This window comes from Homo sapiens, chromosome 2, assembly GCF_000001405.40.
Source record: "Homo sapiens chromosome 2, GRCh38.p14 Primary Assembly".
Taxonomy (NCBI): Eukaryota; Metazoa; Chordata; class Mammalia; order Primates; family Hominidae; genus Homo; species Homo sapiens.
Genome location: NC_000002.12, coordinates 160590722 through 160606550, shown reverse-complemented (window position 1 = coordinate 160606550; position 15829 = coordinate 160590722). Strand labels below are relative to the sequence as shown.

General features: G+C 37.5%; 2 long non-coding RNA genes across 2 annotated transcripts in view; both read left to right on the top strand.

Moving 5' to 3' along the window:
- The window catches only part of LOC105373718 (uncharacterized), a 93832-nt gene that overhangs the window by 41972 nt on the left and 36031 nt on the right, over window positions 1–15829 (top strand). The window lies entirely within an intron of this gene.
- Window positions 7320–9217, top strand: LOC124907902 (uncharacterized). The gene is made up of 2 exons (XR_007087275.1): window positions 7320–7425; window positions 8952–9217. It is a non-coding gene; the product is annotated as an uncharacterized LOC124907902 (long non-coding RNA).

The window sequence follows — 15829 nt, the reverse complement described above, 5'->3', positions numbered from 1 at the left end:
CAGTAGCATTAGTCATAATAGACCCAAACTAGAAACATCTCAGACATTCAACAATAGAAGAATGTATAAAGATATTGTAATATAGTCACACAATGGGAAATCAAATGACAAACTACATTTACAGGCAACAAAACTAGTGAATTTCACAAACAAACCAAAAAAAAAAGCAAAAGAACCAGACACAAAAGAATATAACTGTAGGAATACATTTTATGAATTTCAAAAGTAGGCAAAACTAAACTGATTTCAGAATTTAAGCTAGTGGTTACCTTTGGGGAAGATGGAAGGGAGAGTGATTGAGACAGCATTCAGGAGACAGTGCTTCTGTGATTTTTAAATTTCTTGATAAAAGTGGTGTTTTCACACATGGAATCATTTTGTGATAGTTTACTGCAGCATGCATTTATAATCTGTGCACTTTTCTGAATATATTATTATTTAAAAAATAGTTGAGAGAGAGAGAAAGAGAACATAGCTTGGGGGGATATATACAAGATTTCAAGTGCTGAAATCTTAATTTCTCACTTGCAAACTGTGACTTTGGCAATTTATGTAATTTATCTGAGCCTCAGTTTCTTCATTTTTAAAATGAAGATAATAGTGATTATCGGCTTTGTATTACTGAATGGAAACATTCATGAAAATTATTTAGCACAGTAAATGTTTGCTGATCTAGTCTATCCCCTCAATTTACAAATGAACAAACCAAGAGACAGAAGTGACATGTCTTGTTCACAATTCCTACCTAGCCTGTTGTCAGAGCCAGAATCTGGGCTTATAACAGATAAGCAGTCACAGGCAAGGGTGACTACTGTACTGTGAACTGAAATTAAACAGAAGACACCCTTCAGACCATTCTGTTTGCTTCTTCCATGTGTGTCAATAACACGAGTTACACATTTTTTTGCTCTGATTCTGGCTTCACAGTGACATTACTCAGCAAGTCTCTACAGAGTGGCTTTGGAAAAAAGATAGCAAAGTAAATCAAGTAAGTAATTAATTCAATTCAACACATACTTACTGAGCACATACTATGTGCCAGACACCATTCTAGGCCCTTAGAATTTTCCAGTAAACAAAAGAGAAAAAAATGCCTGCCCTCCAAACACTTATTCTAGTAGACGTAGGGCAGAGAGGGAGGAAGTTGGACAGTGAAAATTAACACGATAAATCATTTATATATTGTTTTTAAAGGTAATAAATGCTTATTTTAAAATGTAGGCTTTATTATTACTCAAATATGGTGAGGCAAATAGATCAGGAGACAACTGCCATTGTAAAGACAACTGTTATTTTCACAGGTCCCGATTTAGGCTTATAATGCATAAGCAGTCACAGGCAAGGGCGACTACTGTACTTGAACTGAAATTGAATAGAAGGCACCCCTCAGACCATTTTGTTTGCTTCTTCCATGGTTTTCAACAACACAAGACACACAGGGGCCACAGGCGCCACAAGGGGAAGCACCAGAGTGGATCAGGAGGCAGGAGCAAGACAAAAGTACAGACAAGAGCCTTTACTGTGGCATCTACAGGAAGCAATGGATAAGGCAAGGTAAGCAGGTTTAGGATTGGTGAGTTTGAATAATTTCAGCAGGCCCTGGGGTGTAGGTACCTGGCCTTGGGATGAAAGTAGGAAGGGGAAAAGTGGCCTGGAATGTGAGAGTTCAATATAGGAAGTGGTTGGACATTTGGGCTCTGGATTGGTTTGTTTGCATTCAAAAGACATGCTCACAAGCCAGTCATTTACTAGTTCTAGGAATTGGCTAGCTCTGAAAGGATCACTCTTCAGGGTCAGGAAGGCTTCAGATGTCAAAGGACCAGAAACTCATGATTAATACAGTGGTCTGAAAAAGAGGGCAAGGAACAGGGACTAAGGAGTTACTGATCATCATCCAATTTAGAAGATTTATCAAATAGATCACCAAATGTGCATCTGACTTTTGTTGAACTAGATTTGTATGTTTTCTTTTACATTTTAATTTTAGTCCTTAGCTGTCAGTGCAGAATTGACTATCCCATGTAGGGGGAAACATGTCATATATAAAAACTAATTCACATTTTGTGACTATGCTCAATACTAAAAAATAAGAAATGGTGGTTTGCATTTTTGTCTATGTACTTGTGTAGCTTGGAAGCCACCTAGCCAGAAATAAGCCTAAGTCATCATTCTTCCAGAACAGCTGCTTATGTGATGCTTACATTCTGCACACTCAAATGATAATCTCATGGTCAGGTCAGTACCCCCACTCCAGGACCCGGATGTAACTATAGCTGTATGGAGATATAGAATGGAGATGACAGCACAATTCATTGTTATATAGAGTTTACTATACATGGTTCTAAATAATGAACAATAGAGTCTATACAGTGAATCTGGGGCCAATCTTTAGACTTTCCTCATTGTAAAACAATTACTATCTTTAATTTGTGTGGTTAAGAGGATAAATAGTTCTGATCTAGGCCTATGCTTAATCCTCTTTTCTGTCAGTCACCAACAAATAGAAGCCATTGGGTGGTGGTAGTAGGGCAGACCTTGGGAAGTACAGGAAATCAGAGTGGAAGACAATCAAAAGTTGGCAAAGTGTTAAAGAGTTATAAATGATTAATCCGAAAAGGAAATGACAAAAAAAATGCTTCTGCAAACATTTTAAAAACACTGCTACTTTACTCATAATCAAGGCAATCACAACCTGTTCGAAGCATGTAACACTTGTGAATAGATGTCTGTCAGGCAGAGACTGGGGAGTTTTAAGAGGCCCCAGAGTGGTTAATGGGGGAATTAGCACAATTCAGAAAAGACATTAATTAGGTCAATCTGCAGTTTTGAAAAACTTTAGCACCTCTCCAATGCTATTAGTGAATTAATGACCCCAGTTATTGAACAACAGACAAAGATTAACACAAAAATTTGGGCTGTTAAAGCCGACTTTAAAAGGGAAGTCCAAAGAGAACTAACAAAGTTGGAAAACTACAATAAGAATTAATGGAAGTGTGTTCATGAATTATAAAAACAGACGATGAAATAATGAATCTTTTATAAAGAACTCTTCAGCACAAACTTACAACTAAAAGGAAGAGAATGCCCAGTGATACTTAGCCTAACAAGAGGTTGTATAGCTTCTCTAAAAAAGAAATTTTAATTTGTATAGTAAGTATGAATTTGCTCAGTAATACTTGGGAATAAGAAGTATCCCAATAATTTGCTGATCTTTAAATTAATTCTGGCACCAGCTCCCCCTCTCATGGTGCGGTGTGTCATATTTTAGGAGCCTCTCCTTTAGGCATTACAGAATCCAGACACTTATGTAATGTCTCAACACAGGGAAAGAGCCTGTCCCTTTATGTCCCTTAAGGTGATTCCCATGCCTGCTGCTCCTTCTACTACTTGGTGATCTTATACACCTGGCCCTCCACTCTCTGTCAAACAATGATGCTCCAGAAAGAACGGAGCTGTCCTTCCCTGCAGTCCCCACCAATGACCACTGAAACCCTTGTAGGAATGATACAATATCACCCGTTAGGGCTGATGGGGTAAGTACAGACCCTTTCCAGATAGCATAATGTTTTGCAATCTGTGTGTGGCAAATAATACTCAATTGTTATGGAGAGGCCTGGGATTATATAATTTAAACATGCTGTTTGTTTCCAAACACAGAATAACGTAATCAAGAAATTCTGCCATTGGAAAAAACTATGCGACAACCAATAATCAATAGAATATTAAGACTTTATTCCCACTTTTTTTATGGAAAAGCCAATGTCTTTGGCATATTTTGCCAATTCAGGATGTGTTACATACAATCTTCCTTACCATTCTGTAAGAATCAAAATTCATTGTTAAGAGCTAACATTTCTGTCTCCACACAAATAATTCCTGAATATATTGGGAGTAGTGTGGCTTGTACAAAAAAAAAATATATATATATATATACACACACACACACACACACATATATATATGAAATGATTGTTTTCCAGAATAACTATTGTTACCAGAAAAGGGATTCTTTATGAACGGCAAATCATGTTGACTGACTCAAATTCCTCAGGATAGTACCTCCTCCACATCTATCTTAAAATTTGTGAGGTGGGAGGTTTGCTTGAGCATGAGGATTTGAGACAACTCTGGGCAACATAGTGAGACCTCGTCTCTACTAAAAATTAAAAAAAAAAAAAAGATTAGTCAAGCATGATGGTGCACACCGATAGTCCCAGTACCTGGAAGGCTGAGGGGGAGGATCACTTCAGTCCAGGAGTTCAAGGTTGCAGTGAGCCATGATGATGCCACTGCACTCCAATCTGGGTGAGGCCTTGTCTTTAAAAAAAAAAAAAAAAGTTTACTATGTGGGACTTCACACAGTTAATCAATCACAGAGTTTAATCAGCTTTAGCAGGTGGAATAAGGAAGCATTCTAATACTAACATTTCCAGTGGAAGTGGAACAACATAATCTGGAATCTGTAGGGAAAAAGAGCTAAAGGCAAAAACAGAGGACATTTGATGATGTTCTTCCAGATTTACAGACAAGACTATAGTAGTAGAGATTGGACAAAAGATTCCAAACTTTTTTAGAAGGCCACAATTAAAAAGTTTAGTTTCTTTCTAGAAGAGAAGCTAAAGGAGACAGCACAAATTTTAGAGGCACCTTTAATGGTCATTGTGGAACTCCTCAAGAGCAAGGGCTTTGTAAGCCATTTCGGCATAGTTCTGCATTACAGATTACACTGTTCTTGAATATTAGGAATTAGTGCTTCCATGTTCCTTGCATTTGCACTTGACTATACCCAACCCCAACACTGAGGTGAAGAATCAGAAACAAGAAATGGTGGGTTTTGGTCATCTCAATGTACTAATCATAAACTCATGTCAAAATATACCCAGCAAATCAATCAGCCTGTCAACCAGTCTTGCCTGGTTTTCTCACTCTTGACACCAAAACATTGAATTACTTAGGTAGGTAAATGACTCAGGAATCACAAATAACAATCCTTGAATTGTTTCTCAACTTGAGATAGTATGAAGAAGACAGAGGACTTACTAAGAATGACTAAACTACATTCAGTAATGAGAATTTGATTCCATTTACTTTACACATGTGTACACAATAAACTACAATGTAAAAAAGAAAATGATTCTCCAGTTCCCTCACCATGGAACTGATAACCTTTAACTGGAGTGATAAAGGAACAGTCTGGTCCAGTCTGGATCCTCTTTAGAGCTTTGCATGTCCCTTGTCTTACATTTTCTCATATGTGCTGGGACAGTCGAGTCAATTCTTGAGAAAAACAAAGTCATGCTACAGATCTTTGGGACCCTGAGAGCTCTGTGCTTGGGATAAGGAGTAGAAAAAGAATTCTTACTTAGAATAAATATAGATGAAACAAAGAGGAAAAAAGGGAAGATGATGGGTCTGCATGGGACACCAGGAGTCCTCAGGTCTGCATCTCTCTGACCTTGAACTTTGTTCTCTCACTCAATTCATCTCTGCCCTAAGAGCAGTAGGAAGAGTCACAGGTGACAAGAAAGGCAGCTTATATTTTTGCAGTATCTTTCAAATTTTTTATCTTGCTCATGCCACACACAAGGGCAGTGTATTAATCAGGGTTCTGTAGAGGGACAGAACTAACTGGATCCCATGATGGGCTGTCTGCAAGTTGAGGAGCAGGGAAGCCAGTGGTGGATCAGTCTGAGTCCCAAAACCTTAAAAGTAGGGAAGCTGACAGTGCAGACTTCAGTCTGTGGCCAAAGGCCTGAGAGCCCCTGGCAAACCACTGGTGTAAGTCCAAGAGTCCAAAAGCTGAAGAACTTGGAGTCTGATGCTCAAGGGCAGGAAGCAACCAGCACAGCAGGATTTTGTCCTGCCTGCTTTCTTCTAGCCACTCTGGTAGCTGATTAGATGGTGCCCACCCAGACTGAGGGTGGGTCTGCCTCTCCCAGTCCGCTGACTCAAATGTTAATCTCCTTTGGCAACACCCTCACAGACACACCCAGGAACAATACTTTGCATACTTCAATCAAGTTGACATTCAATATTAACCATCACAGGCAGCATTATTTAAGCTGTAGCAATGGGAATATCCAAACCCCTTTGGGTTAAAAAAAAAAAAAAAAAAAAAAAGTACACCACAATACTTTCTAAGTAATACTATTAATAATAGACATCCCTCCATAAAAACTGGCTTCAGGTGTTCCCAGTAGGTCATTTCTCACCCAAAACTGTCACGGTTACGACACCATGGATTCAAAAGCCAATGGATTTAATATTCTAGAAAGATCCTCATGCTTGGAAATCCAAAGTTATTGGATTCCTTTCAATCTGTAAAGTTGAGTAGCTCTAGAAGGACCACATTTTTGTTTTATTTGCAGCCGGGGCCTATCACAGATTATTACATTTTCTCTTTCTTGGCTGGAATTAATACTAAGTACTTTACAAAGGAGACACTGGATGTTCCTGATCTTTCTTTGGCAGCTAATTATCGTAATGATGAGCGCCTATATAAAACCTAACCATGAGTTTGCCCTCTGTCAACTGCAAAACTAAGGAATCTAAATGCGGAACACGTCCAAGTTTTAGAAGGCAGTAACTGGTTCAGGCATCAGAGGATGCAGGAGTGATGACTGGGCATCTACAGCATTAACATGCACCATTTTGAGCAAGAGCCATTACTGAAAAGACTTACATCCCTAAAAGCACAGTGAGGAGCTTCCTTCCCTGTCTGCTGAAAAGGCTGACCCAAGGCCAGCCTGGGGCTGCTTAGGTGCCTTAGAAAGTCATTGTATGACTAAACAGTTCAAGGGCTCCTTGACTCAAACTCTCTTCATATTAGAGATTTGAAATTTTCAAGGAAAAATAGATAAGAAAAAACAAAATGTGTGGAATGACTATTTACCATGTGCCAGGCACTTGCTAAGCATTTTATGAACTTTATGCCAATTAAACTTAATACAAACCTAAAAAGTGGAATGACATGCAAAATATTATACTCTACAACAAATACAACACTGGCCCTGACCAATTAATTTAATGGACACTTTTTTTTTTTTTTTTTTTCAGATGGGGTTTTGCTCTGTCACCCAGGCTGGAGTGCAGTGGTGCAATCTTGGCTCACTGCAACCTCCGCCTCCCAGGTTCAAGTGATTCTCCTGCCTCAGCTTCCCAAGTAGCTGGGATCACAGGCATGTGCTACTGCACCCAGCTAATTTTTGTATTTCTAGAAGAGACGGGGTTTCACCATGTTGGTCAGGCTGGTCTTGAACTCCTGACCTCAGGTGATCCACCCATCTTGGCGTCCCAAAGTGCTGGGATTACAGGCGTGAACCACCATGCCCAGCCAATTTAATGGACACTTAACTTATCCATAACCCCTCCAGTTATTATGCCATACCAGTATATAACTGGCTGAAGATTAATCACATTTTGCAGGTGAGAAAACTGAGGCTTAGAGAGGCTGAGTAACCTGTCCAAGATATACTGCTAGAAAGTGGAAGAGTTGAGATTTGCACATCTGCCTGATTCCAAAGCTTGAGATCCCCTTCTTGTTACCATACATGTTTCCTCTTGTTAAGTGACCGGTTCCTTAATAAGAGGATTTTTGTCACCATTAAGATGCTGGATGAAAGGCTATCCATGAAGAAACCATGCTGAACACTCCCAACATCTACTGTGTGTGCATTGAGGTTTTTATCTTTTGTATATCTCCCTGGTAAGCATCTTCAAGCTCTTCCCATTGTCTACAGACTCTAAACTCCCTAGCTCTGGCCTCATAACTTAATAATCCACTCTAAACTCCACCAGTCCTGTGGATCTTATACTCCAGACACTCTAGGTGCCTAGTCATTCCCCAAATATACTTGAACTTTCCTTATTTCTTGTCTTTGCTCATGCTCTATCTAAGTCAGAACTGTTCTCTAGCCTTTAACCCCAGTTGAAATCCAGGACCTCTTTTAACAGCCAATTAAAACTTGCCCCCCTATATTAGACAGTTAACTTACCTGCCCCTATCAAAACCCCTGCAAGGGGCAGCCTGATAGGCCATGTGGTGCCTTCATTTTCACACTGACGCCCCTCAGCAACAGCTGACCCAAGGCTAGCCTGTCCATCAGCTAGTTAGCAACCAATTAGATTGCTAACTTTATGTCTAAAGGAGAAATAGAGGCCAAGTGGGGCTGAATACAAGACTCAAAAGGTCCTGTCAAACTAGGATGAGCAACATGTAGGGCTGAGTGAGAGTAGAGGAAACAGAGAGGGTACAAAGAGGGACCAGAGATTGCTTCTGCAGCAGTTTATCTGCCTCAGGCCCCCTTTCTCATGAGGCCTGGATGCATTTTGATTTTCTGCGATCTTCATATTCTTTCAACAATCCCTCCTTTACTTGAGTTAACATGAGTAGGTCCCTTCTGGAAAACAAAGAACCTTGCCTAGAGATCAGGTTTCTCTGCTCACTGTACAAGATTTAATACCCTCCTGCTTGGCAGTCCACTAAGGCCTTTTTTATTTATACTTCAATTTTGGCACTTTTATCTCACCTTCAATTAATGTTAATTATGCATATATGTCTGTCTCACCACTTTTCCTTCAGACCACGTCCATTCATCTTTTCCTTAGCAGTGAGTAGAACCTGGCACACACTAGAGTGTTAACAAATGTTTATTAAATTGGGTACTTCTTGGTGATGTCAATAACCATGCCACCAATGGGGCCTTGTAAAGTTATATTATTGATATGTCACAAAAGATTTTACCATCACTACCACCCACATACTTGGAGTGTCTACTCCAAAAAGGTGACAAAAGAAGGAAAGAGATGCAGTGATGTTTAGCCAACCACCCAACATTTGTGCTCTCCTTCTCCAGCATAGAGATGTAGCTGGTAAATGCCTTCCCAGACAGGAACCATATTTCCCAGCTGCTTACATATAGGTAGGGTTAATGTATACTTCTTCCCCACAGAACGTGAGCCATGGTGATGGAAGCCTCTTCCAAACCAAAGTGCTTAATAAGTGCTCGTGAGGACCATACAATGTGGAAGGAACCTGGGTCCCTGAAAATTCCCACAGAAGGCTACTGACCAAGAAATCTTTCAAAAGACTATGACAGGAGCAAAAACTACATTTTTATTGGGTTAAACTACAGAGATTTCTGGGTGTATCTGTTACAGCAACTGGTGTTAATTAAACAGAGAAGAGCACCGTTCCATTTTCTCTTTAAGGTTGGAGTATTAAATTGCCTCTATTGTCTCTTTTACGGTATTGATATTTTTTGATTGATTGATCGACCAGGTTTCTTTACTATCAATTCTTCACCTTTAATGGGCCCTCTTTATATTTTTTCTACATATCCCTGCATTATATTTTCTTGATGTTTCCCGGGACATCTTAGGGGAAGGAGGGTGGGTAAATGGTGGGATGTGGAGCCAATGATTCTTCTGAACTTGATTCAAGTCTTGCTGGCTTCCACTGACATGTGGATAATTAAGATTACTTAATTCAAGGTGATCTGGAATACTAACAGTTTCTGGATATCAATCTGGCAGAAAGAAACATTCATCTTACGGAATCTGCACCCTGCTTCTTTGATTCATCAAGCAGAATGTGGATGTTAGCATTTTCTTTTCTTTTTTAGGGGTAGGTGGGCGTCATTAACATGTTGATTTTGATTCAACCGAAGAGGCCTCACTGGAGGGTTTCATCATGAATGTCATATACAGGGCAATCCTACAATATATCATCAAAAGCAATTTATAAAATTGTGGTTTTGAGACAGATGGTGCAGCTCTGTAGTGTGAGTAGTAAATAGTAGTGCCCTTGTAGTGGTAAGATTCCTTTTGTGAAATTTATACCTCTGAATGATGATTAAGAGTACTAGAGGAAAGCATGCTTTGGATAAAGCCCCAAGTTCATCAGAGCTTTGCATGCATTGGCATGTGTTTGGATCCCACAGATCATTAGGAACAGAGTGAGCTTTGGTTCAAGGCCTTTACTTGGTTTACATTTAAACCATAATGAATGGCCCTTAGCTTATGAATCAAAGGAATCTTATTCATGAACTTCCCACTATATAATATGCTTCCATTTGACCCAAAGCCATGATTTTAAGCAAAGCATTGGCTCAGTTTTTCAGATGAAAGCTATGTTCAAATGTTTGCTGGTAACACTGAAGCACAGTAATAATAGTTAACATTTATAAAGCTATGACTACACAACAGACTTTTGCTAAGCACTAAGCAGTTTGTATTATCTCTCTAATCTTCACATAACTGTATAGAGATGTGCTGTTACCAGTGCTGTTTCAGAGTTGAATTTTTTGCAAGGTTTATAGAAGTCAATAACTTGCCCAAGTTCACATTATTAAGCCAGGACCAGAACTGTGGACTGAAAACAAGACATTCTAAATCTAGTGTTTAAAAAATAAACAAACACAAAACCCACAATATTTTATGAAAACATAAGTAGTACATGCATGAAATTAAGAAAAAATACGGACACACATACATAAGAAAAATTACAGTGGCCGGGCGCGGTGGCTCATGCCTATAATCCCAGCACTTTGGGAGGCCGATGCAGGCAGATCACAAGGTCAGGAGATCGAGACCATCCTGGCAAACATGGTGAAACCCCGTCTCTACTAAAAATACAAAAAAATTAGCCGGGGGTGGTGGCAGGCACCTGTAGTCCCCAGCTACTCAGGAGGCTGAGGCAGGAGAACGGCATGAACCTGGGAGGCGGAGCTTGCAGTGAGCCGAGATCACGCCACTGCACTCCAGCCTGGGTGACAGAGCGAGACTCCATCTCAAAAAAAAAAAAAGAGTATCACATTCCCACTACTTAAGAGATCACCACTAAAACAACTTAGACCAAATTCTTCCAGATCCCATTCTATATATACAAACACAAAATATACGTGGCAAGAACTGACAGAATTGGAGAGAGAAATAGACAAATCAACAATAACTGAAGACTTCAATACTCCGTTTTCAATAACGTATAGAACCATCAGACAGAAGATCAACAAAACAATAGAAGACTTAAATAATGTTATAAGCCAACTTAACCCAACAGATAGTATAGAATACTCCACCCAACAAGAGCAGTACACACATTCCTTTCAAACATATATGAAACTTTCTCCAAGATAGACCATATATTAAGCTATAAATAAGCATCAACATATTTAAAAGGGCCGAAATCATGCAAACCACTATGTTCTCCAACCACTATGGAAAAAATTAGAGGAATTAATAATGAAAAATTGGGAAAATTCACAAATGTGGAAATTAAACAACATAGTTCTAAATAACCAATAGGTCAAAGAAGAAATCACAAAGGAAATTTCATAAGAAATCATAGAAAATACCTTGAGATGAATAAAAAATTGGGATACTATGTACTAAAACAGATGGGCTGTAGATAAATCAGTGCTTAGAGGGAAATTTACAAGTAAAAATTTCCCTCTCAGCACTGATTTATCTGCATCCCATAAATTTGTACATTATATGTATCCCATTGTTTACATTATAAAAGAAGATCTCAAATCAATAATTTAGCCTTATAACTTTAAAATACTGGGGTGGGGGAATAGTAAAACCAAGCAGAAGGAAAGAAATAATAACAATTAGAGCAGACGTTAGTGACATAAATAATAGAAAATAGAGACAAGAAACAAAAACAAAAGTAGGTTCTTCAAAAAGATCAAGAAAATTGTCAGATCTTTATCAAGACTGATGAAGCAAAAAGACAATTCAAATTACTATAATCAAGAACAAAAATAAGACATTACTACAAATCTTACAGAAATTAAAAGGACCACAGGAAATCCTGTGAACAACTGTATGCCAATAAATTAGATAACTTAGATGAAACAAGCAAATTACTAAAGAGACATAAACTACAGAAACTGACTCAAGAAAAAATAGATAATCTAAATAGACCTATAATAAGTAAGAAGATTGAATCAGTAATCAAAAAACACTAAGGAAAATGCAGGCCCAGATGTCTTCATTGGTAACTCTACCAAATGTTTAAAGAATTAGTATCAAGCCTTCACAAACTTTTCTAAGAAATTGTAGAACAACTATTCCTAACTCATTACATGAGGCCTGTATTACTGTGATACCAAAACCAGACAAAGGCATCACAAGAAAACTGCAGACCAATATCTCTTATGAATATAAGAAAACATACTAGCAAACTAATAACATATTAAAAGTATTGTACACCATAACCAAGCAGGGTTTATTCTAGAAATGTAAGTTTAGTTTAACATCTGAAAAATCAATTAATATATACATTACACCATACCAATAGAATGAAAAACAAAAGCCATGTGATCATCTGAATAGATTCAGAAAAGGCATTTGACAACATGCAACACTACTTCATGATAAAAACACACAACAAACTAGGAACAGAAGAAAAATTCCTCAACCTGATAAAGGGCATTTACAAAAACCCACAGCTAACATTACAATTAATAACTTACACTTGAAAGACTGAAAACTTTTCCCCCAAGATTAGGAACAAAACAAGGATGTATAGTCTTACCACTTCTATTCAATACTATACTAGAGATTCTAGCCAGGCCAGTCGGGTAATTTTTAGGTAAAATTAAGTAAAAGTCATCCTGATTGGAAAGGGAGAAGTAAAATTACCTATATTTGCACATAACATAATCTTGCATATAGACCTTAAGGATCTTGTATGTAGAAAATTATACAAATTCACCAAAAAGCTATTAGAACTAATAAGTCTAGCAAGGTTGCAGGATACAACATCAATATACAAAAGTCAATTGTACTTCTATACACTAGCATTGAATAATCCAAAAGTGAAATTCCAAAAAGAATTTCACCTACAATATCACCAAAAAATTTAGAAATAAATCTAACAAAAGAAGTATAAAACTTATACTTTGAAAACTACAAAACAATGTTGAAAGATATTAGAAAAGACATAAATAAATTGAGAGATATCTCATGTTCATGGACTAGAAAACTTAATATTATGATGGCAATACTCTCCAAATTGATCCACAGTTTCAATGTGCTTTCTATTATAATCTCAGCTGACATCTTTTGAGAAATTGGTAACCTGATACCAAAATTCATATGACAATTCAAGGGACCTATCAATCTTGAAAAAATAACAAAGTTGCAGGAATTTCACATCTCAATTTCAAAACTTGTAAGATAGTGTGGTATTTGCAAGAGGACAAGTAGGTAAATGGAATAGAATTGAGACTCCAAAAATAATTCATACATCAATGACCAACTGAGTTTTGACTAGAGTTCCAGACAAATCTTTTCAACAAATGGTGGTGGGAAAACTGGAAATCTACATGCAAAAAATAAATAAATAAATAAATAAATAAATAATGAATTTGGAGCCTTACCTCACTCCATAAAAATTAACAAAAAATGGATCAAAACCATAAAAGCTTTAGAAGAAAAACAGGAGGTATATTGGATTAGATTAAGCAATGGTTCCTTTAAGATGACACCAAAAGCATAAACAACAAAAGAAAAAATAGGTAATCTGGACTTCATCAAAATTAAAAACTTTTGTGCTTCAAAGAACACCATAAAATAAGTGAAAAGGCAACCCATAGTATGGGAGCAAATAATTGCAAGTCATATATATAACAGATTTGTATCTAGAATGTATATTTATAAACTTTTACAACTCAAACATAAAAAGAAAATAACCAAGTTGAAAACTGGGCAGACTATATGAATAGATGTTTCTGCAAAGAAGATATACAACCAATACACATATAAAAAGATGTTCAACATCATTAGCCATCAAGGAAATGTAAATCTAACCCATAATGAGATACCATTTAATACCCACTACGATGAATACAATAAAAAGACAAAAACAATGTTGACTAAGATGTGAAGAAATTGAAACTCTCAAACATTGCTGATGGGAATGTAAAATGTTGCAAACTTTGAAAACAGCCTGGCAATTCTTCAAAATGTTAAACACAGATTTACTGTATGATTCAGCATTTCCACTGCTAGATACACAAATCATTTATTCACACAAAAAACTTGAGAAATGAAAAATAAAAATTTATGCCTGCACAAAATCTTGTACATGAATGTTCATTGCAGCAATAATCACAGTAGCCAAAAAGCAGAAAAAAACACCATGTTCATTAGCTGATGATGGATAAATATGGTATATCCATGTAATGGAATATTATTCAGCAATAAAAAGAAATGACATACTGATACCTGATTCAAAATGGATGAATCCTGAAAGTATCATGCTAAGTGAAAAACAGCCAGTTACAAAAGACCACATATTGTATCATTCTGTTTATATGACATGTCCACAATAGGCAAATCTATAGAGACAGAAAGTAGATTAGTGGTTGCCTAGAGCTAAGGGTGATGGTTGGGGACAAATAAGAGTAACTGCTAATGGGTGTAAGATTTTTTTTTTTGAGATAATAAAAATGGTCTAAGATTGTGGTAATGGTTGTGCAAGTCCATGAATATACCAAAAAATATTGAATTACACGATTTAAGTGGATTAATTATAATGTCATGTGAATTATATTTCAATAAAGCTATAACTAAAAAGAGAGAACGAGAGAATTAGGACATTGAGAAGAATAGTTCTTTCAACGAGTTTGCTCTAATTGGGACAGAGAAATGGGACAGCAGCCTGAGAGAAATGTGGGGTCAAGGAATGACTAGTTTCTAAATGAAAGATATTACATATGTTCGTATTTTAGTTAATGTTCTAAAGGATGATGATGAAAGAGAGAGAAAGCACACTTGCAATTAGGCAGGAAGTGATGAGAGCTATTGCAAAGTAGAGGAGGTAGCCTTAAGTCAAACCCCATAACTTGCAGTTCAACTCATCCATTGCAGTAGGGCTGGCAGAAAGTACAGTTACAGATGCAGAAATGTTGGCAGATTTGTGCTGTAGGCATGAGAAATTCTTTGTGAAAAGGGAAAGGGGGGAGTTGATGTTTTGAAGAGACGAAAGTATAGAATAGTCATTTAGAAGAATAAGAGAGTCGTAAAGTGAATAAAGTGCAGAAATATACTATTACTGTCAGGTAGCATTCAGAGCCTAACAGTTTGTGCTTACATGTTTAAAGTGAGACCACTCAGCACAGCTGAATATATTTATCTTTCAGAGGCTTAGGGGTGTGCCAAGAGTAGGAAGGAAGGTTGAATTTTACAAAGGTGTAATCGGTGAATACTTGGTGGGCTGGGTAACAAACAGTAAAAAGTTAAGCCAGTGGATTAGAGGTCCTGGAATGGTGAGAGATTTGTCAAAGGGAAGATACTGGAGGGAAGGAGAGGGAGGAAAATAGGAAGGACCCAGGGAGGAAGGAGGAAAAGAAGGAAAGAAGACAGTGTTAAAAGAAAAACTTCAGCTGAATTAAATTTAAAGGAGTTTAATTGAACAATGAACGATTTGCAAATCAGGCAGCACCCAGAATCACAGATTCAGAGAAACTCCAGTGCAGTCATGGGGTGGAAGAAGATTTACAAACAAAAAAAGGAAAGTGACATACAGAAATCAGAAGTGAGGTACAGAAACAACTGGATTGGTTATAGTTCAGCATTTGCCTTACTTGAACACAGTTTGAACACTTGACAGTATATGAGTGGTTGACATATGGCTGCTGGGATTGGTCAGGACCCAGCCACTATTATAGGCACACACTTCCAAGTTAGGTTCTCAATCTTGTCTACCTATTAACTTATGTTGTAATTCGTCCACAAAGGACTCAAATAGAGAAGTACAGAGTCCTTATCAGGCCATATTTAGTTTGCTTTAATGGAAAGGAGGGGAAGGGGAAGGGAG